The sequence below is a fragment of the Homo sapiens genome, chromosome 1, assembly GCF_000001405.40.
Source record: "Homo sapiens chromosome 1, GRCh38.p14 Primary Assembly".
In the NCBI taxonomy this organism is placed as follows: Eukaryota; Metazoa; Chordata; class Mammalia; order Primates; family Hominidae; genus Homo; species Homo sapiens.
Window position 1 is genome coordinate 247722058 of NC_000001.11, and position 26585 is coordinate 247748642.

General features: G+C 36.5%; 2 protein-coding genes across 3 annotated transcripts; one reads left to right on the top strand and one right to left on the bottom strand.

Moving 5' to 3' along the window:
* Nucleotides 1–899: 899 nt before the first annotated feature.
* Nucleotides 900–26101, bottom strand: OR14A2 (olfactory receptor family 14 subfamily A member 2). Of its 2 annotated transcripts, NM_001355292.3 has the most exons (5): nucleotides 25814–26084; nucleotides 13427–13499; nucleotides 12129–12368; nucleotides 11226–11326; nucleotides 900–2005 (listed from the first exon to the last, which is right to left on the bottom strand). In NM_001355292.3, the coding sequence occupies exon 5, from the start codon at nucleotides 1984–1986 to the stop codon at nucleotides 1042–1044; it is 945 nt and encodes a 314-aa protein (NP_001342221.1). In that variant the 5' UTR covers nucleotides 1987–2005; nucleotides 11226–11326; nucleotides 12129–12368; nucleotides 13427–13499; nucleotides 25814–26084; the 3' UTR covers nucleotides 900–1041. The 2 variants fall into 2 exon arrangements, with proteins under 2 accessions (NP_001342221.1, XP_047276149.1); XM_047420193.1 differs by lacking the exon at nucleotides 13427–13499 and having other exon boundaries at nucleotides 25814–26101.
* OR14K1 (olfactory receptor family 14 subfamily K member 1) lies at nucleotides 16558–17502 on the top strand. The gene has a single exon (NM_001004732.2). The coding sequence runs from the start codon at nucleotides 16558–16560 to the stop codon at nucleotides 17500–17502; it is 945 nt and encodes a 314-aa protein (NP_001004732.2).
* Nucleotides 26102–26585: the final 484 nt, after the last annotated feature.

Sequence of the window (26585 nt, forward strand, 5' to 3'; positions counted from 1 at the left end):
TCAGAATTATTACCTGGCCATCTAGTTAATTCAATGGTTAATAAAACATTAGTAACATGATTGAAAAAAGAGCATAATAATTGAGAACAATCTTAGGAATATTTGTATTTTTTCTTAGATAAATAAGAACATAACAAAGTCAATATAAAACCCAGAAAGTTATTGTAATAAGACACAGAATCTCTAGGGGGGTTATATAGAAGGTAAAGAAAAAGGTTTCACATTGTAGACACTCGTGGTTAAACCAAAGGAAGTCTATCACAACTGAATGACTTGGGAAATCATTTTAACACATTTCCAAGCTTCTCTTCAGAATCAGATTTAAAACATTATTCTTTATACAGGGAGAGGTGAAGGCCTTTCTGAACTATAGACATGCAGACACATAGAAACACACAGTTCTCAGACCTTCAGAACTCTGCCTGGTCTGTTTCTGGAAATACTATTTACTGGGTGACCACCACTTGCCTAGGAGACCTTGGCTCAGACATGTCTTCTCACCTCTGCTTTAGGTGTCCTGCAGATTGTTTACAGATCTGGGCACACCTCTAAAATGGCCTTAGCTCACTGTGTTATTTTTGCCTAGTATTGTTCTTGCTCAGCTCTAGCTAGATTCTCAGGGGAGTCATGTGAATTTTATCTGGGTAGTATAATGCAAATGCATTATACTGCACTCATTGAATCACCTCAGCATTTTTAATTTGTTCTCAGTGAATAAAATAGAGAAAATGGGTTATTAAGAGACCAAAGATGAAAGCATCATGTTAAACAGAACCAATTCTTTCAGAAAGTTATAATACAAAGGCAGAAATGCTTTGTCATAGAAGAATACCAAATGATTACTATAACACTATGTATTATCCTGATGTAATGCAATTAAGTGACTTAGAAATAGTCAGTTAGGCTCTTGAGTATTTATTTCTTCAGGGAAAAAATAATTTGAGTATATTGCTTTCTTTTCTCAGGTCTTTCCAAAGTTACAAATAAGGAAAGTTTCTTGTGATCTGTAAGGCACTGTATCACTGACAGAACTTGAAAGTGTTAAATGAAGTAAGCCTCCTGACCATATGTTTTCTGCAGCAACCTTATCAGAGCACATTTCATGTCATTGTTCCGCAGGCTGTAGGTTACAGGGTTAAATACTGGAGGCATCACAGTGTAGATCACAGAAAGCAGCCTGTCAATAACAGATGGTGAATTTGAAGGTGGCTTAAGATAAACAAAATAAGCAGTTATGATAAAAACAGTGAAAACAGTGAGATGGGGGAAGCATGTGGAAAAAGCTTTGGACTGACCTTTAGTGGTAGGGATCTTCAGTACAGTGGAGAAGATATAAATGTAAGAGATCACAATACAGATGAAACAAGAAATGCTTAAACATGCACCAACTCCAATACCTGCATAAATTACCATTAGTGTTTCAGAACAGGAAATCCTTAGTAATGAAGGAACATCACAGAAAAACTGTGGAATCACACTGGAGCCACAGAAAGGCATGGAAAATGTGCCAGCTGTGTACGCAGTACCAAAGAGCCCTCCAATGGCCCAGGAAACACTTGCCATTAACACACAGACTCCAGTATTCATGATTACCTCGTAGTTCAGGGGACAGCAGATGGCTACATAGCGGTCATAGGACATGGCAGTGAGGATAAATATCTCTCCTGCTGAGAAGGAAGTCATTAAAAGTAGCTGGAAGGCACATCCTAGAATGGAAATGGAATTGTTGTGGGTTAGGTTGTTGACAATGAATTTTGGGATTGGAACAGACACCAGGAAGACATCCAAAAAGGATAAGTTCTTCAGGAAGAAGTACATGGGTGTTTGGAGCTTTACGTCCAGGGTAATGAGAGTAATGATGAGAAGGTTACTCATTAGGGCTGCCAGGTAAATCAGTAGGAAGAGCACACCATATAAAATCCGCAGCTTCTGGATATTAGAAAACCCCATAAGAAGAAATCCTGTCACCAAGGTGACATTGGCCATACTAGATTCTCTTCAGTGCCTGTCAAGGTGAGAAAATATGCAAAAAAAGAATAAAGGAGAAAAAAATTAAAAAATTAGTCTATACAGACTAGCAAGAGTCATATTGATATACAAAAATATTCAGTGGAAAGGAGTCATGTACCTACCTAAAATGGCTCTCCATTTACTTAAAACTTCATTGTTCATTTTTTAAGATAAACTCCATGAGTAATGTGTAAATTCCATTAGACTTTATGAGTTTTACCTAATCCTATAGCCTCAAACTTAATTTGTTACAAGACACATGTAACTTGACTAAACACAGAAGCTTTTCCAACCCACTGAGAATTTGCATCAAATTATTATTATGCCATGCTTCATGATGAATCCTTTGCTTTCAGAAAAGCAATCCAAAGGCCCATGTCTTTAGATTGTGTTAGTATCCCTAATATCCTATACAGGTGCAAAATATCAATTATCATGTGATGTTGTAAACATGAAGTCACACTTACAGATGTATTGAATAATCTAACACAGGTAAATAACCTTCTCTATTCTAATGATAGTAAGCAAGGGAAAATAAACAAGGATTTGTTGTTCAATGTTTGTATTATCTTGAGGTCATGCAATTCTAACATAATGAATATCTCACTTAGTGTAGAAATAAAAAATGAATTATTTAGCAAAATTTCATGTTCTTTGAATGTGCATATGTGTACTAAAGCCACATCATTATAAGGGTGGTTGATTTGTTTATAAAGGAATTTTGACAGGGCACCATGATAAAATGGCTTTCCCATCCTAACTGAATAATTTTTCTTGATCATGGTCAGTTGTCGGTAATTTACTTTGTAAAACTATCAAATATCTTCTTTCAGTGTTTAAAATATTTCCCTCAATTATTAGTTACTGATGTAGAGTTATTTATTCTTTATTGAAAAGATCAAAAAAATGTTCCATATATATCAGACATCAAACTAGATGGTAGAGATTTAAAAAATAAACAACTTTGTTTTTTCCTAGGAGCTTTGTGTTGATGGGAGGAGGCAGAAAAAGAACAAATAAATTAGTAAACAAGATAAACTCAGATTGGGGGAGGCATTAAGATAATACAAAGGTGTTATTTTAGAGATTAACCAGATGAAAGGGCTTTCTATGTGGGTGACCTGAGGGCTGACAACAAAATGAAGAGAAGAAATACAGGACAAAGATCTGTAGAGAAGATGCTTTAGGAAAAGAAGCTTAAAAAATAAAGTAAAGGTTACGGACATTTGGATCACATGTGGAGAAGCAGTATATAGTGAACTTGGAAAATGTGGTAGAGTGATTAAATAATTCTGAAGACATTTATTAGCTTACTTCAATGGTCAGTCTGGAGAAATACACAAGGAAGGACAAAAGGGAGGAGGAAGATAATTAATTGTTTTTTTGTCTGCCCTAAATTTCCTTAATATCTACAAGATTTTATTTATTTATTTATTTATTTATTTATTTTTTATTTATTTATTTTTTTTATTTTTTATTATACTTTAAGTTTTAGGGTACATGTGCACATTGTGCAGGTTAGTTACATATGTATAAATGTGCCATGCTGGTGCGCTGCACCCACTAACTCGTCATCTAGCATTAGGTATATCTCCCAATGCTATCCCTCCCCCCTCCCCCCACCCCACCACAGTCCCCAGAGTGTGATATTCCCCTTCCTGTGTCCATGTGATCTCATTGTTCAGTTCCCACCTATGAGTGAGAATATGCGGTGTTTGGTTTTTTGTTCTTGCGATAGTTTACTGAGAATGATGATTTCCAATTTCATCCATGTCCCTACAAAGGACATGAACTCATCATTTTTTATGGCTGCATAGTATTCCATGGTGTATATGTGCCACATTTTCTTAATCCAGTCTATCATTGTTGGACATTTGGGTTGGTTCCAAGTCTTTGCTATTGTGAATAATGCCGCAGTAAACATACGTGTGCATGTGTCTTTATAGCAGCATGATTCATAGTCCTTTGGGTATATACCCAGTAATGGGATGGCTGGGTCAAATGGTATTTCCAGTTCTAGATCCCTGAGGAATCGCCACACTGACTTCCACAATGGTTGAACTAGTTTACAGTCCCACCAACAGTGGAAAAGTGTTCCTATTTCTCCACATCCTCTCCAGCACCTGTTGTTTCCTGACTTTTTAATGATTGCCATTCTAACTGGTGTGAGATGGTATCTCATAGTGGTTTTGATTTGCATTTCTCTGATGGCCAGTGATGATGAGCATTTTTTCATGTGTTTTTTGGCTGCATAAATGTCTTCTTTTGAGAAGTGTCTGTTCATGTCCTTTGCCCACTTTTTGATGGGGTTGTTTGTTTTTTTCTTATAAATTTGTTTGAGTTCATTGTAGATTCTGGATATTAGCCCTTTGTCAGATGAGTAGGTTGCGAAAATTTTCTCCCATTTTGTAGGTTGCCTGTTCACTCTGATGGTAGTTTCTTTTGCTGTGCAGAAGCTCTTTAGTTTAATTAGATCCCATTTGTCAATTTTGTCTTTTGTTGCCATTGCTTTTGGTGTTTTAGACATGAAGTCCTTGCCCATGCCTATGTCCTGAATGGTAATGCCTAGGTTTTCTTCTAGGGTTTTTATGGTTTTAGGTCTAATGTTTAGGTCTTTAATCCATCTTGAATTGATTTTTGTATAAGGTGTAAGGAAGGGATCCAGTTTCAGCTTTCTACATATGGCTAGCCAGTTTTCCCAGCACCATTTATTAAATAGGGAATCCTTTCCCCATTGCTTGTTTTTCTCAGGTTTGTCAAAGATCAGATAGTTGTAGATATGCGGCGTTATTTCTGAGGGCTCTGTTCTGTTCCATTGATCTATATCTCTGTTTTGGTACCAGTACCATGCTGTTTTGGTTACTGTAGCCTTGTAGTATAGCTTGAAGTCAGGTAGTGTGATGCCTCCAGCTTTGTTCTTTTGGCTTAGGATTGCCTTGGCGATGCGGGCTCTTTTTTGGTGCCATATGAACTTTAAAGTAGTTTTTTCCAATTCTGTGAAGAAAGTCATTGGTAGCTTGATGGGGATGGCATTGAATCCGTAAATTACCTTGGGCAGTATGGCCATTTTCACGATATTGATTCTTCCTACCCATGAGCATGGAATGTTCTTCCATTTGTTTGTATCCTCTTTTATTTCCTTGAGCAGTGGTTTGTAGTTCTCCTTGAAGAGGTCCTTCACATCCCTTGTAAGTTGGATTCCTAGGTATTTTATTCTCTTTGAAGCAATTGTGAATGGGAGTTCACTCATGATTTGGCTCTCTGTTTGTCTGTTGTTGGTATGTAAGAATGCTTGTGACTTTTGTACATTGATTTTGTATCCTGAGACTTTGCTGAAGTTGCTTATCAGCTTAAGGAGATTTTGGGCTGAGACAATGGGGTTAATGCCCACAAGAGAAAGCAGGAAAGATCCAAAATTGACACCCTAACATCACAATTAAAAGAACTAGAAAAGCAAGAGCAAACAAATTCAAAAGCTAGCAGAAGGTAAGAAATAACTAAAATCAGAGCAGAACTGAAGGAAATAGAGACACAAAAAACCCTTCAAAAAATTAATGAATCCAGGAGCTGGTTTTTTGAAAGGATCAACAAAATTGATAGACCGCTAGCAAGACTAATAAAGAAAAAAAGAGAGAAGAATCAAATAGACACAATAAAAAATGATAAAGGGGATATCACCACCGATCCCACAGAAATACAAACTACCATCAGAGAATACTATAAACACCTCTATGCAAATAAACTAGAAAATCTAGAAGAAATGGATAAATTCCTCGACACATACACTCTCCCAAGACTAAACCAGGAAGAAGTTGAATCTCTGAATAGACCAATAACAGGAGCTGAAATTGTGGCAATAATCGATAGTTTACCAACCAAAAAGAGTCCAGGACCAGATGGATTCACAGCCGAATTCTACCAGAGGTACAAGGAGGAACTGGTACCATTCCTTCTGAAACTATTCCAATCAATAGAAAAAGAGGGAATCCTCCCTAACTCATTTTATGAGGCCAGCATCATTCTGATACCAAAGCCTGGCAGAGACACAACCAAAAAAGAGAATTTTAGACCAATATCCTTGATGAACATTGATGCAAAAATCCTCAACAAAATTCTGGCAAACCGAATCCAGCAGCACATCAAAAAGCTTATCCACTATGATCAAGTGGGCTTCATCCCTGGGATGCAAGGCTCGTTCAATATACGCAAATCAATAAATGTAATCCAGCATATAAACAGAGCCAAAGACAAAAACCACATGATTATCTCAATAGATGCAGAAAAAGGCTTTGACAAAATTCAACAACCCTTCATGCTAAAAACTCTCAATAAATTAGGTATTGATGGGACGTATTTCAAAATAATAAGAGCTATCTATGACAAACCCACAGCCAATATCATACTGAATGGGCAATAACTGGAAGCATTCCCTTTGAAAACTGGCACAAGACAGGGATGCCCTCTCTCACCACTCCTATTCAACATAGTGTTGGAAGTTCTGGCCCGGGCATTTAGGCAGGAGAAGGAAATAAAGGGTATTCAATTAGGAAAAGAGGAAGTCAAATTGTCCCTGTTTGCAGATGACATGATTGTATATCTGGAATAGCTACAAGATTTTAAAAATTTTGCCTTGAAACAGAGAGTACTTTAACATTTTACCAACAGAAATTTGAAATTAATACCGTAAAATAATTCCAATTTTTCAACCACATGGACACAGGATTACTCATCAGATGTCCTTAAGGAGATAATTCCATCACATCTACACAAGGGTAGAAATATTCCTCCCAGAATAAAAAGTTTAATTTGTCAGTTGATTACCTGAAATTAAAACAAAACATCTAGCTTCCTTCATAAACTCCGTGTCAACATAGCACATGGTTCCATCTCTAGACTTTTGATAAAAGACTCAAAGAGCTCTGCAAAGCTGTGGTAGTTTCTTCACATGGAAGGATGCATACTACCACAATGAGGAAGACTATTTGCCTTTCTTTTATTTCAAATTTGACATAATTTGTAAACGTCTATAGTCAAGGGACTGCAACAAATTATTTTTAAGGCACTTGGCTAATACTTTAGAATTCCCCAAAGAAAAATGTTTTAAATATTTTCTGAATCACCTTGTTAAGTGATTATCTCTTAAGACCATTAGCAGTATAATCACATGTGTTTTCTGTAGGGAGGAAACAACTGTTTCCAACGTAGGTCCAGAACATTCTGAAATACACTGTTAAGGACATGACTCAGTCTTTTAGCAGAAAAATAATAAAGTACTCAAGTATTCCCTTAATTCTACTTATCATAGAGTTATAGGCTATAGGACAGTGATAACCAAGCTATGTAATATACTGTATAATAATCATCTGAGCACTTTGCTAAAAATGAAGACTCCTGAAACATACAACAAGCCAACATAACATAGTTGAAGATTTGCTTGTAGCTCTGTTCCCCTTTAGACTTAAGAGTTTATATTAAGCCTATGGTTAAGTTACTTAAAATGGTTTCTTTCTGTTTTCTTTTGAACATGGTTTTGTTTTTCATTCGAAGCATAGTTATTTCATTTGATTTGGTTTGCATTTAATTTTAAAGTTTTTTGTCCTTTACTTTTGTTGACAGTTTTTATATGTAAAAAATCAATATGCTTCTCCAAAGTAAAAATACACACAAAAACCCCACAGAATACTATTCTCAATGAAATGTCACTCTCTATCCTTTCCACCCCATTGCTCGAGATCTACAGAAAAGCAATTTCAGGGTTTACTGGTTTGTTGTTTGCAGGTTTCAATTTTACAAAAAAAGATTTGCTCATGTTTTCTTGTTACTTATAGCATACGAAGTATACTCCCTTACATTTGATTCTTTAATGTAATAAATGCTGGCAAACATTAGATACAGTTTATGGAAACTGCCTTCATTATCATTATTTTTTAATGGTTGAAGAATACTCCAATGTAAATATAGGTAATAGTTTATTCAATAATTACTATATGTTTTGGTATTTAGTTTTCAAAATTTTGTGGTTATAAACAAAGCTGCCAAATAGAAACCTTGTGAACATTTATTAAATTACAGGAGGTACACTTCAGGGTATTATATAAATGAGTCAAAGGTGGCTCCTGTAGATTGGCCCTCACGTAGTTTACTTCTTCACAGCAGGCTGTGACAGTTAGCTCAAACCCTGATGACACCAAACTCAAATCGTTACAAATCCAGTTGATTCAAACATAGCAAAAAAACCTCACATGTTTTAGTCATATATAACCTGCCTACCTCTACCCTGCATAACTGCACCCAACATCTGCTAGCTATAATGAAAATTAACCCTGGGGCTATAAAACACTTCAAACCACTTACCCTGCCAGATAATTTTTGTTTTTTACTGTTTTATTTCCTCTTTCTTTTCCTCCATTTCTTCTTTCCTGCCATTTTTCAGTGATTATTTGAATAATTTTTAAAATTTCTTTTAAAAATTTGTTGGTTTTCTAGCTGCTTTTTATTGTGTATAGCTGCCCCAGGAATGAGAAAATATACATACTTAACTTTTTCTAACTCTACTTATAATTGATAATGCACTCCTTCTTGTAAAATAATATCTTTGGCATTTACACATGTATTAGTCAGGGTTCTCCAGAGAAACAAAACTGACTGGATAAAAAAATATATATATTTGAAGGCCTGGAAATGGGAACTCTGATGTTGGAGGGCCAGGAGAAGGTTGCTATCCCAGCCCAAGAAGAGGGTGTGAATTCACCTTTCTTCTGCCTTTTTGTTCTATTTGTACTCTCATTGGATTGGATGATGCCTCTCCACCTTGGTGAGGGCGAGTTTCTTTACTCAGTCTACTATTTCAAATGCTAATTTCTTCTGGAAACACCTTGATAGACACACTCAGAAATAATGTTTTACCAGCTACTTGGGCACTGTTTAGTCCAATTGTATTGACACATAAAATTAACTATCATAGCCCATATATGACCATGTCTGATACTATTAACTTTTTTTAGTATTTCAGTATATTTCTTGTATTATTTATTTCATTCTAAAGATCTTACTTCAGTGTTTCTTACAGGCAGTTTTGCTGTCAACAAATTCCTCTTAGGCTTTTTTAATCTAGTGCTGTCTTTATTTTTCCTTCATTCTCAATTACATTTTTGCTGGACATGAAATTTTTGATTGATAGTTGCCCCTCCAAACCTTTCAACCTTTCAGTATGCTGAGGATGTTTTTCTGTTCTCTTTGTGTAATCATCATTTCTAGTGAGAAGTCATTATTCACAGTATTTTTTCCCTTTATGTAATATATTACTAATTTTTTCTTGCTGCTTTAAAGATTGGTGCTTATACTTTGCTTTCAATAGTTTTACTATTATTTATTTTTGTTTGAGTTATTTGTGTTTGTCTTCTGACTGGTGTTTTTTAGCACCTTGTACCTACAGATTTCTATTTCCCTCAGATTTCAAAAAATATTGGCCATTATATCTATAATTATTTTTTCTGGCATGTTCTTTTTTTTTCTCCTTCCAATTCATCAGCTTAGATAATTTATATGCTCTATCTTCAATGTACTTACTCCCTCAGTAAAATTTTAATTTCAGAAATAGAAATTTTCAATTTTGTAATTTCTGTTTGGTTATTTTAAAGTGTTTCTATTTCTTTGTGGAGAAATCCCATTTGTATACTGAGATTTCACATGTATTGAAAACATATTTTTTTTTCTTAATTGAGATAAATGACCAATATAAGTATCTTTGTCTGTTTGCTTCAACATCTGGTTCATCTTGAGTTTGGCCTAGATTTATTTTCTTTTCACATCTTAGTGGGTTTAATTTTTAGATCCCTCATATGATGGGTAGAATTTATCCTGAATATTATGAAAGCTGAATTGTAGAGATTCTACATTTTATTTTATTTTTAAGTGAGTATTATTTCTACATATTAACAAGCCATTTCTTCATTGGTCTTGAACTACAATTTTTATTTCATTTGCAGTAGCTTCCATTTCATTCAGATCTTGGTATGGCTGAATATCTTTCGGTCTTTCTGTGCATGTGTGATTCAGGGGTAAGCCAGAGATGTGGGTAGAAAGTGTTTGGCCTAACTTTTTTTTTGTATTTTACTTTAAAGATCTCTACACTCAGGATTTATAGTCCCCAGTCTTCTCTTTTCTGGCGCCCCAGTCCAGAAAAAAATAGGATCTATCTCTATCCATTTTGGCCAGCATCGTAAGCTCACCACTGTTGTGTTGCTGTATGAATTGCACATATCCCAACACTGAAAGCTGTGATGGAGGAAACTAAAATGGTCAAGCGCCCTTACAACACTTCTCCAAGTGAACAGAAACCTTTGGCCACAGTCCGCCAGCACTTATTCAGGTGTTTTTTATATTATGTTTAGGTTTCACATGTGCTTTCTGTTGGAGAAAAGGAGGGGTCTGAGGAGCTCTTTCCTAGTCCATCTTATTTGGAAGTAAAACCTCTCTTTTAGCAAAACCGAGCATGGCCTTACCAAATGACCTAGTGATTTGGTCCCTTGGTACTTACCCAACTGATTTGAAAAGTTATGTGCAAACAAATCCTGCATATAAGTGCTTATAGAAGTTTTATTTATAATCACCAAAACTGAAAGAAACTAAGTAGTCCTTCAGTAGGTGAGTGGATAAAGTATACTTCAACAATGCAGTAGAATACTAATCATCAGTAAAAAGGCATGAGATATCCACACAACAACATGGATGAATCTTGGATGCATTTTGCTAAGTGAAGAAGCAAGTCTGAAAGTCTGGCTTCTTTCAGACTCAGCACGCCCTTCCCCCAGGCAGGATATGTTTGTAGTAAAGTCTTTTTGCCTGGAGTGGTCCTTTGATCTGGGAAGGCTCTGGGCATGCTATGGTTACTTTTCCACCCTTTTGCCAATCCAGGAGAGATTCTTTCTTGGCTTTTTATTTGAAAGCCTTAGTGGGATTCCTAGATATAAAACCAATGAAAGTACGAGGTCCCCCTGAGACTGCGGCCCTCAGGAGTTTCTTACTCTTACACCATCCTGAGAGCATTCGGAAATTCATCAAACTTGTGACCCTTCCAGTTTATTATTTCTGTGGCTTTCGTTCCTAGTGAGCAGATCTTAGCTGTGACTCTCTATATTCACCTGTCTCTCTAGATTTAAGGATTAATTTCCATAATAGTGGACTAAAGACGAAAAGTGAATAGATACACTTACCTCATTATCAGAAAACTGATTTGAAAGATTTGAAGAAATTTGTGACAAAAATCCTCAGTAACCTGGTATTGAAGGTAACCTCTTAAACTGATAAAAGGCATCTGAAAAGAAACAAAAACCAAAGAAATGCATTGGACTATGGAACAATTCCTATTTTACAAACCTTCTGAAACTTAAGGAAAGACATTTCCTGTTTATCTGTTCAATCATGCTATCTGCTCATTCTACTCCCTCACTCCCTGTCCTTTCTAGCCTTCCTCACTCTCCCTATATAACAAAAGCCCTTTCTGCCTGACCATTTAGAGGACTACAGGTATCATGCTTGGGGAAATTCTTTCTATTGCAATACTCTTTTTGAATAAGTTATCTGCTAACTCAAAACCAAGAAGAACAAAAACAAAAGCCAACAAAATGAACAAAAGACAAAACCCTGCAACTAATATCATAGTTAATGCTGAAAGCCAGAATGTTTATTCTGTAGATCTGGATCAAAAAGGATTATTCTCTCACCACCTCTATTTAGCCCCAAGCAGTGAAAAAAGGTAAGAAAAAGAAAAAGAAAATTCATTAAAAATGAAGAAGTGCAACTTTTCCTCACAAAATGAGTATCTACGTAGACATTTTGAGAAATCTACAAAACAGCTACCAGAGCTACTATGCTAGTTAAGAAGGTTGCATGATAAAAATAAGGCTGTTACATGGTATTAAAAAACAAATGGAAATGGAAAGCAAAAACAATATCATTTATATTATGTTACAGGTTGAACTGTGTCTTTCCAAAATTCATCTTTTGAAGTTCTAACCTCCAAGACCTCTGAATCTGACTGTATTTGGAGAAAAATCCTTTAAAGAGCTTATTAAGATAAAGTGAGGCCATTAGGATGGTCCCCAATCTAAACTTACTGATGCCTTATTAGAACAGGGATTAGGGCACGCAGAGACCCTGGGGGCACGCATGCACAGAGACGACCAGAGGAAGAGGCAGCAAGACAGTGTCCATCTGCAGCCCGAGGAGAAGATTCAGAGGAAACCAAGGCAGCTGACGTCTTGATCTCAGATGTGCAGCCTCCAGAATCGTGAGAAACACCCACTCACAGACGACGTGTTTAAGCTACCCCATCTGTAGTATTTTGTCATGGCAGCCTAAACAAACAAATACAGATTTGGATCAAACTCATGAAGTATCTACTGATTAATTTAACAAAATGAGCTTGGGGGTTGTGTACTGATATGTACTGAAATAACAAAATGTTTCTGAGAATCTTTTAAAGACTTAAAAATGGAGGGATATACCATCTTTATTGCTCAAAATACTCAATGTTGCTAAAAATACAGTGTTTTCTACATTGATCTAGATTCAGTCCCTGTCAAAATCCCTAGGAATACCTTAAAAATCAATAAGCTAATTTTTAAAATGTAGATAATGAAGTCCTATGGGGCTGGATGTCATATGTCTCTTACGAAATGTCATAAAATGATGAAGAAGAAGGTCTAATCTAAACGTCAACTTCGCAATGAATGTGGGGTGTCCACAAGAGGTTGCTGGATGACAGAAACAAGCTCTAGGCAGCATAGAGGCTGTCCCCACCAGGATATCTAGAAAGTCAGTCATTCAAAGCAAACTAGCGAGCAAATAACTGGAAATTACGTGAATATAATAAGAATATTACAAGATCAAAATCTGAAAATAAACTGTACCTCATCCCAACCCTGGAGAAGACCCCACTGAGTTTCATTTTGTTGCTGCTTCCAAGGGAAGCCTGAACTCGTAGGATGCTCATGAGGATGCCCCTGGCATCACTTAAGAATGAAACAGATGTTGAAAATTCGGTGCTCTTGGGAACTTTCTATACAGGCATCTCTCGTCATTTGTGAGAATCTGAAGGGACGTCATCTTCCCTGGAGGCTTAAATCCAGAGTGAGAGGAGAAAAGAAAGATCCAAGGGAAGTGTGATGGCTCAAGGACTTAAACAAATCCATGTTTCAGACCCCAAAGTCAGAGCACTGCATCTCCCAGTGTCCTTCTCAGTTGAAACTGGACTGAGATTATTACACTCAATTTAAAGAGTCTGTGTACACACACCAAAATTTAAGGTGTCACATGCAAATGAATGTCTAGGATCCATTAGTCACATATTATGGATGCAATAAATAAAGGTTTATTCTCATGAGACCCAGAAAGATCTCCTTTTCTGACTCACTGGAGGAAAAGGTGTGGCATCACGTCTCAGATCTGAGGTGAGAGTGAAGAGCTGGGTCTCCAGGGCTTAAAACCTATGAAATAAAATATAAGTACAAGTAAAAGTGTGACCTCCCAGGAGAGTCCCATATAGTCAATGAAAGTCTGTTTAAAGCTGCTTTAAAAGCCTTGCTCCTTCTTGAAGAAGGAAGTGCCTAATACAGAGGACATCAAGCAGAGCTTGGAGACTGCACAAAAGAAATAAATACTGATACGTAGAGGACAGAAATGGTCAATCAAAATCGTCGTGAGTTTAACCCGGGGAGTTGGGGTCTTGAAGCAGGAATCGGTAAGCATATAGGAAACTGTTTGCAGCATTCACTAGATCTCCCTAAGAATTGAAAACTAGAGCTCTCTTTGAACAAAAACTGTGAAAAGAAGTCCTAAATTACTTAGACATTTCATTTTTATTTTCTTCTCTTCTGAAATTATTTTGAAATAAATATAGAACTGTTTGGGAAAGCATTCTCACCGGCCTTTGTTATGAATGTTGCTTCTATTGATCTTACTCGAGAATGGAAACATTTTCCGGGGCTGAAGATTCCATATAGCCTTTGTTATGAATGTTGCTTCTGTTGATCTTACTCGAGAATGGAAACATTTTCCGGAGCTGAAGACTCCATATAGGCCTCCCCTCCCCTCCCCTCCCCTCTCCTCTCCTCTCCTCTTCCCCTTTGCTCTCTCATTCTCTCCATTCCTCATATTCTTGACAAAAGTGATAAAATTTGTTGTTAATATGATATAGAAATGGTAAAGAAACATATAAACCTGAACTTACCCTATCTTCCCAGCCTTCTTAGATACCCCTTGATTTTAGGATTATTTTGTGTATTATATGTATTTTCCCAGTTTTAGATTGATTGAGACTCAGATTGCATATTTTTATTTAATCATGTGGAATTTCCCTGGACCAAATAAGTATATAAATATAATGAGGCAAAGCTTTATTGTTATTAATGTTATCTGTAAAGAAAAGCACACAGACTTTTAAACTAATGCTATCACTCATTTCATATGTAAGCATGTGAAATAAGGTGAAATATAAATCAAAAATGAGACTGAAGGGATAAAAATCTAGCATTGGAGTCAAACATCACTGGGGTGGAAGGAACTCAAAAGGACACTCACTCACTCACTGAGCTACCCTGGCTGTCTCTAAAACACACAGGCTAATGCAACAGAAACAAGGATGGATGGTTTGCTAGTTTGGAGGTAGCTCTTGGGGTATTTTGACACTGCTCCAGGTTTTATTCCCCAGCAGGTCAAACAAAGGAGGCTTTACTTTTGGGGCTTCCATGAATTAGCTCATGTTATGAGTCAGGCTCTCCATTATTGCTCTAAAGCTAGGGCCAGTGCTTTCTCCAACAAGAAAGCCCAAAGTTTGCAACATAGTAAGAAATTTCCATTTGCTCATGAGTCTTTTCAACTTAAAACATTATTTTATTTAATTTTTGTAGACATAGAGGGGTCTCATCTTGTTGTCCAGGCTTGTCTCGAATTCCTGGCCTTAAGAGATCCTCTGGCCTCAGCCTCCTAAAATGCTGTGATTACCGGCATGAGCCACCATGCCTGGTCCCTTTTCAACTTTAAATCACTTGTTAATTTAGTTCTCAGAAAATCACTTGTACTGAAATGGACATATTCTATGAAGGTTAGAGGTACGACTGCTCATCCTGGAAAAGCTCTGTTTATTCTTGCTCATCCTCTCGGCTGTGTGTGTGTGCATATGTGTGTATAGAGAAGGAGGAGAATGTATGTTGTAATGGTCTGCTACATTCTCTTTCAGTTGAAAAACTGCTGAACAACAAAGTGAGACTCTCTTGTGTCTACAAAAATAAAATATTTTTTAAGTTGAAAAGACTCAAGAGCAAATGGAAATCTCATGCTATGTTGCAAACTTTGGGTGTTCTTGTTGGAAAAAGCACTGGCAGTAGCTTTAGAGCAATAATGGAGAGCCTGACTTATAGCTCAACATGAGCAAGTTCATGGCTGCCCCAAACTTAAAGCCTCCTCTGTTTGACCTGCTGGGGAGAATAAAACCTAGAGCAGTGTCTACATACCCTAAGAGCTACTTCCAAACTAGCAAACCGTCCATCCTGTTTTCTGTTCTGTGTGTTTTAGAGATGGCCTGGAAACCAAAGGGGAAAGTGAAAAAATTGCCATTGAAGTGATACTAAAGTAAAATCAAGAGAGGTTCTAAAGACAAGATGATCTGAGGGAAAAACATGGCCAAAACTCTCCCTCACGTTGGGGTGTGCGAGGGATCTCAGATGACAATCTCTGAATGTCTATCACATAAGAGGACACACTGCATCTCTGGTTAGATGCAGTAGATATCCCTGTCTGTCGCTTCCTGTGTTTAATTAAATCCTTCCTAGAATATTATGTTAATCATCTGGCTAAGTCTCAGGTTTTTGTTCTTTTCATGAAAAATGACACTATATATTTGAAAACTGATTTGTGAAAATAACGAGTACTTTTTAATTTTTGTGCTATGCTATGTATATGGACTAAAGAAAGAAAAAAATGATACTATAATCACATTTTCACCAAAGGAGTAAACTTTAATGCAAAAATGGGAGAATAATCTTAACATCCTTCAGTGAGAAGGGGATAGTAAATTAGAGTATCACCTGAGGATAATGACTATTTTAAATATTGCAGTAAGTAGCAAGCAGAAATTTCATTCACAACATTTAATACACACAAAACTACATTAACCGGGATATTTATACATGAAAATGTATGCCCTATTGCAGTTTTATATATAATTGCATAGCCAACCCTGTAATTCCCAAAGGAAATAAAATCACTCAAAAGTCATTTCAAGTAATGAGGGAGAGAAGTGAAGTTCTTTGCTTCTTTCACAATAAATCTTAGTCCAGGACTACTAAGTGTTAGACTGATATACCCACAGTTGTTTTACACCTGAGTCCATGAGAAATATAAATTGCTTGATATTTTTAAACTTTTTGTCTAGGCCTTGATGCTACACATACCTTCATTCAACAAATGAAGAAACAAATGATACTTTTTAATATTAGTATGACACTTATTTTCCTTTACTCCATAGGGCGCTTATAATTTTGAACTATGACCAATCAGACACAGATGATGGAATTCTTGCTTGTGAGATTTACTGAGAATTGGGTGCTCCTGAGGCTGCATGCTTTGCTCTTCTCACTGATCTACCTCACGGCTGTGCTGATGAATTTAGTCATCATTCTCCTCATGATTCTGGACCATCGTCTCCACATGGCAATGTACTTTTTCCTCCGACATTTGTCCTTCTTAGACCTGTGTCTCATTTCTGCCACAGTCCCCAAATCCATCCTCAACTCTGTCGCCTCCACTGACTCCATCTCCTTCCTGGGGTGTGTGTTGCAGCTCTTCTTGGTGGTACTGCTGGCTGGATCAGAGATTGGCATCCTTACTGCCATGTCCTATGACCGCTATGCTGCCATCTGCTGCCCCCTACACTGTGAGGCTGTCATGAGCAGAGGGCTCTGTGTCCAGTTGATGGCTCTGTCCTGGCTCAACAGAGGGGCCTTGGGACTCTTGTACACAGCTGGAACATTCTCTCTGAATTTTTATGGCTCTGATGAGCTACATCAGTTCTTCTGCGATGTCCCTGCCCTACTAAAGCTCACTTGTTCTAAAGAACATGCCATCATTAGTGTCAGTGTGGCCATTGGGGTCTGTTATGCATTTTCATGTTTAGTTTGCATTGTAGTTTCCTATGTGTACATTTTCTCTGCTGTGTTAAGGATATCACAGAGACAGAGACAATCCAAAGCCTTTTCCAACTGTGTGCCTCACCTCATTGTTGTCACTGTGTTTCTTGTAACAGGTGCTGTTGCTTATTTAAAGCCAGGGTCTGATGCACCTTCTATTCTAGACTTGCTGGTGTCTGTGTTCTATTCTGTCGCACCTCCAACCTTGAACCCTGTTATCTACTGTCTGAAGAACAAGGACATTAAATCCGCTCTGAGTAAAGTCCTGTGGAATGTTAGAAGCAGTGGGGTAATGAAAAGATGACTAAAGTTGAAGATGGGAAGTAACTTTTTTTGTTGTTGTTGTTCTGCCATCCACTAGCTGTTTAAAATTATCTCTATTTTGGGATAAAAATGTCATGGAGTCTTGCTACTGATAATCTCAAGCAGTCAGTTTTAATAGAAATAGAAAGCAACTATTTTCCTACAATTTTTGCACTTTTTTTTTTTAAAATTTTGAGACGGAATCTCTCTCTGTCATCCAGGCTGGAGTGCAGGGGCGTGATCTTGGCTCAAGCAATTATCATGTCTCGGCTTCCCAAGTAGCTGGGATTACAGGTGTATGCAACCACGCCCAGCTATTTGTTTGTGTTTTTAGTAGAGACGGAGTTCCACCATGTTGGCCAGGCTGGTCTTGAATTCCTGACCTCAAGCAATCCGTTGGTCTCAGCCTCCAAAAGTGTTGGGATTACAGCGTAAGCCACCGTGCCCATCTCTTTTCCTATACTTCTTCACTTGACATCTGTTATTCATGTAGAAATAATTAAAGTTTTCCTATGACAACTTCAATGATTTTTACTCTTGTTCTGAAGATCCACATGCATTGCATGAGATTTGTATGAGGTTCTCATACCTCAAAAAGCTTTCATCTTTTCGGCATTCTCTTCAGTTAGTTTCTGCTTTATTGTCCTATCTTTTCCAGCATTCTCTTCAGTTAGTTTCTGCTTTATTGTCCTAGATTTTGCATTGCATCTCAGGTTTTATCGATTCAACGTTCTTTATAGCTTCTGATTTTCACTATTTGGTAAAAGTTGTAATTTTAACTTAAAGTTATGATTTCAACTTACTTTTACAGTTTAAAAAATGTACTCAATTTTATTGCATTTTACCTATTTGATTCATGTGTGCTTGGTAGATTTTATACAATTACCCAAACACTTAGGAAGGTGATTTTCTCATGTCTTTTTAAAAATAAATTATGTTTTTGGAGTAGAATATTTTTCTCTTCATTAAAACTTCTTTTTCTCTAATGTGTTGATTCCTGACTTGTGCAAATTGCTTTCATAATGTATTAGAATTAATGAAATAGCATTTAGCACTGTTTCTAACATTGTGATAAATTATACATTTTCTGGACCTTTAATATTATATAACATTTCAAGTACCCTAAATGTGTAGAATTGTTTTCTACTCCTTGCTGCAGGAGACAATCGTCGTATCACCCTATTTGTCCTCTTGCTGCTTCTTTCCTAGAGATGGAAATTAACATTTGTTGCCTAATTTCACTGTATCAGACACTTTTGTGTATACCACCTCTATTAATCCTCTGACTGATATGAGGCAGCATGTAATACTGTTAAGCAGATGGGACAGCTGAGACTGAGCATCTTTTTGTTTATGTTACTCATAACTTAAGAATGTAATAAAATATGTTTCTAGCCTTTGGCAATACCTTTCAAACTCTGTATGCTCACTACAGCATCTTTGAAACTTGGTCCATATTAGCTTCCTCATGAAATCTTCTATTTGCCCAAATTCTACCCAAATATTAAAATCTAGCTTAGATTTTTAGAGTCTAGCTATAAAATATTATGAAAGTGCTTAATTACATATTTCTCTGTCTCTAAACTCTTGTATGTCATTGTATGTATTGTATGTCAGAAAATAATTTAAATATCTTCTAGTGAGCTTTGCACAAATATTTGACAGAAAATAAATATATTTTTAAAATTTGTTTAACACAGAAACTGGATTATCTAATGCCTGCATGGAAAGTTCATGCATAAACTCTTTGATTTACTCTTACAGTGCAGTTCACAGTTGTGAGCATATAATGGTTTTGTCACTACTTCTTTAACACTGCCTGGATCCTAAGCCAATTCATTTCAATGCACCATAAATTTAGTTATGTGTGTTTAAGGAAAAATAAACATTGCATTAAATGAACTTATCAACTTTGAGTTGAATCCCTGTTATAGAAACATTGAATTGGAATATGAATAAAAAAGTGTGTTTGAGAACTGAAGGCACTGGATAATGACTATATTTTTAGAGAGCAACCATACAGAGTGAGTGATAAATCACACAAGTATGCATATGTTAAATATACATATAGATACAATCAAAGTTTCAATGGAAAAAAAGGGTAAGAAGTAGTAACAGGAAGTGAATTTTTGCTGTTTTACATTCAAACCAAAGAAAGCTGTAAATTGTCTTGAATCTATTGGTCATGTAGTTCTACATTTAAAGAGTACATTGCTGATGTTTGCTCTGATAGGTTGTGCTATGCAACTCTTTATTCACCATTGTGACACTTCTCTCCTTACTTTACGAAACGTTCATTGTACTATACCTACGTGCATCAGATGGAGACATACCACAATGATTGAGAACCCTGCAAGCTTACAGATCACTTCTGTGATACCCTCCCCGCCTTGTTTTCCAAAATTTTACCTTTACAGTGATGATACAGATGAAAGTAAATTGAAATAGTACTTCTATTTCAGTTCAAAGGAATTCCGAGTATCTGGAAAAACTAGCTTTGCTCAAATGTTGAAACAAAATGTGTATTGCACTTTTGGAAAGCTTCTTCACAGTAGTTTGTTATGGGTTTATGGAAAAGTCTGAACTTGGTATGGTGTGAAACAGATTGCTTTATTATTTTATTTCAAATACCATGTAATTTTTATTTTAATCATGTAATTTCCAGTCTGGTTTTCTTATACCTCAATATTGAAATTTTGTTGAGATAATACACACACACACGCACACACACACACCATGAAGTGGAGACTGTGTTCACCACTGTGGAATGTAATCTGACATCACAAGATTGAAATTTTGTTGATAATACACGCACACACACACACCATGAAGTGAAGACTGTGTTCACCACTGTGGAATGTAATCTGACATCACAAGATTGAAATTTTGTTGAGATAATACACACACACACGCACACACACACACCATGAAGTGGAGACTGTGTTCACCACTGTGGAATGTAATCTGACATCACAAGAAGCTTATTTAAAAGACCTCACCAGTAGCTAATTAAATCAAATGTCTAATACTAGCCACTTAACTGCTTGTTCTAGGAAAGTGGGCTTCTATTCTCTGTGGGGCTATATGACAGAGGATAATCAATCAATATGATAAAATAATAGGGAATTAAGAAGATTACAAATATTTGATTTTTCCATTTACAAATTTAGGAAACTAATATGTGGAAATAATGATTTGAGACAACAAAACAACAGGAGGATACAAAGATGGGGAAAGACACAAAAAGGGGCACAAAAGTTTTCAAAAATATGCCTTGGAAAGTAGATATAGGTTATTTAATTAGAGATAGGAATTCTACAATTAAAAGTAATTTTTCAAGTTAAATGTATCTAGAACTATGCTATCAAATATGGCACCACTAGACACACGTGACTACTGTGTACTTTGAAATATAATTCGTATAACTAAGGAGCTAAATTAGTACTTTTAATTAATTTGCATTTAAAAATTGATAGTCGATTCATTTATTGGAACATTTTTAAGTGTACTTGAAACAACCAGAGTATGGAAATCTATTTTTTTCCACTTCAAATTTCATAAAGTCTAAATACAAATTATTTCCAGTGAAAGTTTAATGTTCCACTTCCTGCCCACAGAGCCCTCCACTGGAGTGCTTCCTGACTGTGGTGTTCCCTACCAGAACTCCCCCTACCAGAGCACCCCCTACCCATGGCACTCCTCTCTGGAGTGACCCCACTTGCAGAGCACCATGCCAGAACACCTCCCACCTATGATGCCCCTGCTGCCTCCACTGGAGTGTCTATAATGGCAGCCCCCAATCATTTCCTATTGAGTGCTGTTGCCAGTGGTCTGGGAGCACCTTGGCCCCTCCAGCCCAACCAGAGATTGGCCTCAAGGGACAAAGTTTTGCACCAATTTTTATTTCCACCAATCATCTGTGACAATTTCTATGGTTCTGCAGTTTCAGGACTAATTGATATTTGGCAGGCCTTTTAATTTTAGGCATTCTGGTGGTCTGCAGGGATGTTTCATTATGTATTTAAGATGCATTTCATTCATAATTAATGATTTTGAACACATTTTCAAATGTTTGTTGGCATTGCCTTTTTTTGTGTGTTGCCTCTTCAAGTTTCTTCATTATTGATTTATAGGAGTTTTTAAAAAAGTATTTTGGGTATGAGATCTTTGTTGGTTATATGCATTTCCAGTGTCTTTTTGTACCTTAGAGTCTATCTTTTTAACTGTCTTCATGGAAACATAAGTCTTTAAGTGTGTTGTAATTGGTAAAAATTTTCCTTCATGGTTGGATCTTTTTCTGTTTCATTGAAGGTTTATTTTTCTAACCTCACGAGAAATATTGAATATATTCTGCTATATTATGTTTAAAAGCTTTATATTTTACCATTAAATTTTAGATCAATTATCTACCTGTAATTAATTTTTTGCACCCGGGGTAAAGTAGGCATCAAATTTTATTTTTAACCATATGGACATTTAAATGACCGCATCTTTTTCTCTGAAGTTCTACCTTGGCCACTGCTCATGTCATATATATGCATGGTATAGTTTTTGGCCCTTATGTTGCCTATGCCTGAACAAATACCGTAGTGTTCTAATGATTGTAATTCTGTAATATATTGATATCCACAGAGCAAATTATTTTTCCTTTATGATGAAAGTTTTAGCTCTTTTCATATAATTTATATATGTTTTAGAACAGACTACAAATTTTCACACATATACATGTGATAGCTGGGATCTTTTTGTTTTGTTTACTCTAATGTAATCACGTTAAATCTGTTGATTAAGGAAAATAGAAATATTAATCATTTGGATCTTCAAATACATAAATACCATGAATTTTTATTGGTCTTCATTCCTCAATATATCTCTGACCTTCCTACTTGGATAAATATTATCTAAGAAGAACACTAATTTTCTTTGGGACAAATTGGTTAGGGTCGAATTCTCTGAGGTTTCTTAATTTCTTCTATTTGTGGGGGTTAAGAGTTTTGGATGTATTATACCTCTTCAAAGCAGATGCCGAATCAAAATTTGACATGAAAGATATCTATTGGTGGAGGACACTGTCCATAGATCTAGATCTTTATTATTCCCATGTATCTTGATGGATATGCCAAAAATGTAAGCCTCTTCTTGTTCTTTTTAAATCTAACCTTAAGGGGTATACATGCAGTTCTGCTACATGGCTATATTGCATAGCCATGGGCCAAGGTTGAGCACAGCTGCCTGAGACATACTTTAAAGTTGCCTCAAGGAGTGCTTCAGAAAACAAAGGAGAACCTCCAGTTTTTAAAGAAAAAGGAACAAATCAGGAAAGGGGAGATTATGAAGTTATAAATTGGACATACATTGTGGAACTATAGGGTAATGGTTACTCTGTTCAGTGTATGGTATTTTATGGCTACTTGGTGTCAGTCTAGAGCCCATGCAGAGAGTGGCTTCAAGAGTTGATTATTTAGCTCAAGGGAAGGAGTAAGACATGACTGTTATTGCACTTCAATGCGTTTCTTGGCCTGAAAATTAAAGGGGCTATGACTCCTCACATAAAAATATATTCTCTTTCTTACCTGGAAAACTAAGAATAATAGTATATTGAAGTAATAAAATAATTCTATAATTACATTAATAAAGCCATTGTGATCTATAATTAGGTAATTATCACCTATGAAATGCAAAGGAAAATATATCCAAACGTGATTAATAAATTATTACCTAAATCATTTGGAAAAGGAGCTAAGAAAAATTCTACAGTGATGCTATGAAAACATACACATTTAAAATACTCCTGCTGAGTGAAGGGGTTAAAAAAAAAGATGGTAGCTTGGAAAAAAAAATAGAAAGATGTCTTTTGGCTTTTTTTTTGATAGTATGAACCATAATGTAGTAAAGGAGAGAAAAAAATCTTCCCTAAGCAAAACCCCAAAGCCAGAAGCCTTAAAGGAAAAGATCAGTAGATTTAACTAGATTGAATAAAATCTCATGGACAAAATGTAATCACAAAAAGAGTTTTAGAAAGAAGCTTTAATTTTTCTTTTTTTCTTTGTATTTAAGAAGCATGAGACCTACAGGACCTAAATTTTCTAATATATAGAAAACTTAAGCAAAGCAATAAAAATCAAAAATATAGGGAAAAGTTATAAAAAGACATCAGACAAAAAAATTAAAACAAATGGCTCATATACTTGGTAAAACTTGCCCAGACTGACTGACAAATATATGCACATCAGAACTAGGAGACATTTATTTCTCCTCTCGTAATGTTAAGGAAGGATGGACCTAGATTAAAAAGTTGAAATAATCTGTTTTTTTGAGACTTCCTTGCATTTCTAGGGGTAAAATGAGGCAGCTCCTGTAAAGTGTTGTTCTTTCCAAGGGCAGGATGGTCGTTAATTGGGTTCTACTCCCAGGATATTTACTTAACCAATTAGGAGAATCACCTTAAAACAGGGAAAAACCATGGGCACAGCCGTTCATGGTTCTTGCCCTGTCTGGACAAGATTGTGTACATGATCATCTCTGCAGCTAAAAGAATCCAATGAAATTCATGCCGTTATTGTTTTCCAAACTTTTTCTGTCCTTTTCTTTGCAACCCTAGTTGGATGTCTTAACTTCTGTAACTATTCATCTTTTGTCTTTAGATTGTGAATAATTGGTCTACTTTGAAGCTCAGAAGAGTCATTGTGAATAATATGGACAGAGTAAAAGAGTTATGACATTAGCTGTTAGTGACATTAGCTCGAAGCCCACAATAGTCATAGAAAGGGGGAGACTTCACAACACCATCTCCCTGGTATCCACTGGACTTTGATGGGTGGCATCCACTAGCGGAATTCAGAAAAATGAAGGTGTGAAATCGGTTTTTATAAAGAAGAGAACCATGCTATGGAGAAGGATTACTGTATCGCCTCTTCAGAAGCCTTGTATGATGCCATCCTGGGATACAGCTGAGTAAGCCTGCATTCTTAACATCGTATAGGACATTCTAGCATAGAAGCCTATGGAATGAGGCCACCTGTTTTCAAATCCAGCCCCCACCCTTGTGTGACCATGGGCTAATTGCTTAAGCTCCCCACAGTTCCAATTTCTCCATATAGTTGGCATACAAGGGTTTGTTTTGAGCATTGATGTAAGTTATATCCAGTAATATTTGCAAACATCTTAGAATGTGGCTGGTGTAGGTAAGTGCTCTTGATCTCACATTCCCAAAAGCACATTTCTCAGACCATGAGTCATTCCTGCCTCTGACCATCCTGCCAAAATGCATGCCTTCTCAGGTCCCCTTATTCTGAAGAAAATAAAACAACAACTTGTTGTTATTGAAGGACTAGAGTGTGGGAGGATGATCTGTATAGACTTCTTGATATATCCTCCTACACATAATCCATGGATCTGACCTCTTAGATACTTAAAAAAGGTAGACAGTTTACATCAAAATTATTTGTAAGCCTAGAAATATTTTCAGAGGCTTACCAAAATACAAGCTTTAATTTCATTTCAATTGAGATTTGAGTTCATTTGTTTATCTGAATCAATATAATTTAAAAAACATCTTCTAATATCTTGCCTTGGTCTAAGATGGTTAAGAGTTTGCCACTGTTTTGACATGTACAGTTGGGATCTTCCTTTCCATAGTAGTCCAAGGAAGGGAAGAGAGACAAATACCACTTCCACTCCAAGCCTAGGCATCAAAGCCAGGGTGAATCAGCCTATGGGAAGTCTGCTAGTATTTGAAGGGACAAAGACATTCTTTCCCCCCGTATAAACACTTCTAACCATGAACTGCTAATGCGAAGACTTTTTTTTTTTTTTTTTTCTGAGACGGAGTCTCGCTCTGTTGCCCAGGCTGGAGTGCAATGGCGTGACCTCAGCTCACTGCAAGCTCTGCCTCCCAGGTTCATGCGATTCTCCTGCCTCAGCCTCCCGAGTAGCTGGAACTACAGGCGCTCGCCACCACGCCCGGCTAATTTTTTTGTATTTTTGGTAGAGAGGGGGTTTCGCCGTGTTAGCCAGGATGGTCTCGATCTCCTGACCTCATGATCCGCCCGCCTCGGCCTCCCAAAGTGCTGGGATTACAGGCGTGAGGCACCGCGCCCGGGCCTGTTTTCCTATTTTGAAAATGAGTTTGGTCCCATTAGATTTGGTCTCAGTATTTACGTAAGTGCAGCAAGAATGATGATTCACCATGTAGGACTTTTTGAATTTTCTTTGCTGGAATTTTTTGTAAGGAATCTCACATTAGACTTTTAAGTCTCGAGACTAGAAAGCCAAACCATGGCTCACCACAAGATTTCATTTGTAGTACTTACAGAATTGAATGACTGCCTCTCTTCTTGAGGTCTCCAAAATATCCTATGGTTCCTGAGAGTACCGGAAAGTGACCTTCTATACTCACTGTAAGGCTAAGCATGCTATAAGCCAGGTACCAGGCTAATTTTTTCAAGAGGATTTTGTAAGCCTTGACCTCATAAAGTCAGCATAGTTCCTTAAAACTGTCTGATCATATCTGATTCTATGAATGTCATTTTCAAATATGACATTCCATTCAAAACCTGAGTAATATAACTGATATTTCTAATTACATCATGTTAGGAGGAAAGATTCTTATTGAACGTATGCAAGTAGTTATGTCACAATGGGAATTAGAATACTCAATAAGCATTTCTAAATTCTGGAGGGATAAGCAGGGATAAATATATAAAAGTTTTATATCTGTTTACAAAAGTATCATCTACAAAATTATTTATAATATAATGGCTTTAAAAGAGGTTTCTTACATCCATAATATAAAACATTAAAGAGCTAATGATGTTCCAAAATAGCACCATAAAAAACAACCACACTTCATTAGTTCATCTGCCGTATGTAATTGATTCTTGTTCTGCTTTAACTTCGGCTACCAGTTTGAAGAACCCATCAGCTTCTCCATTAAATTTCCGGAACTGTAGACTTAGACCAGGTGTACAGTCTCAAAGTTATTTAAGCAATGGCATCAGATGCTTGTACCCCGGATTACCTGTTATTGTTCTTTCCATGGGTCACAGAGATAGTCACATTTTGTTAAAGATGAAGCACTCTGGC

Bases quoted from the DNA above. Each gene is read 5' to 3' on its own strand.
- OR14A2 (XM_047420193.1), bottom strand. From the start codon at position 1,986: ATGGCCAATGTCACCTTGGTGACAGGATTTCTTCTTATGGGGTTTTCT.
- OR14K1 (NM_001004732.2), top strand. From the start codon at position 16,558: ATGACCAATCAGACACAGATGATGGAATTCTTGCTTGTGAGATTTACT.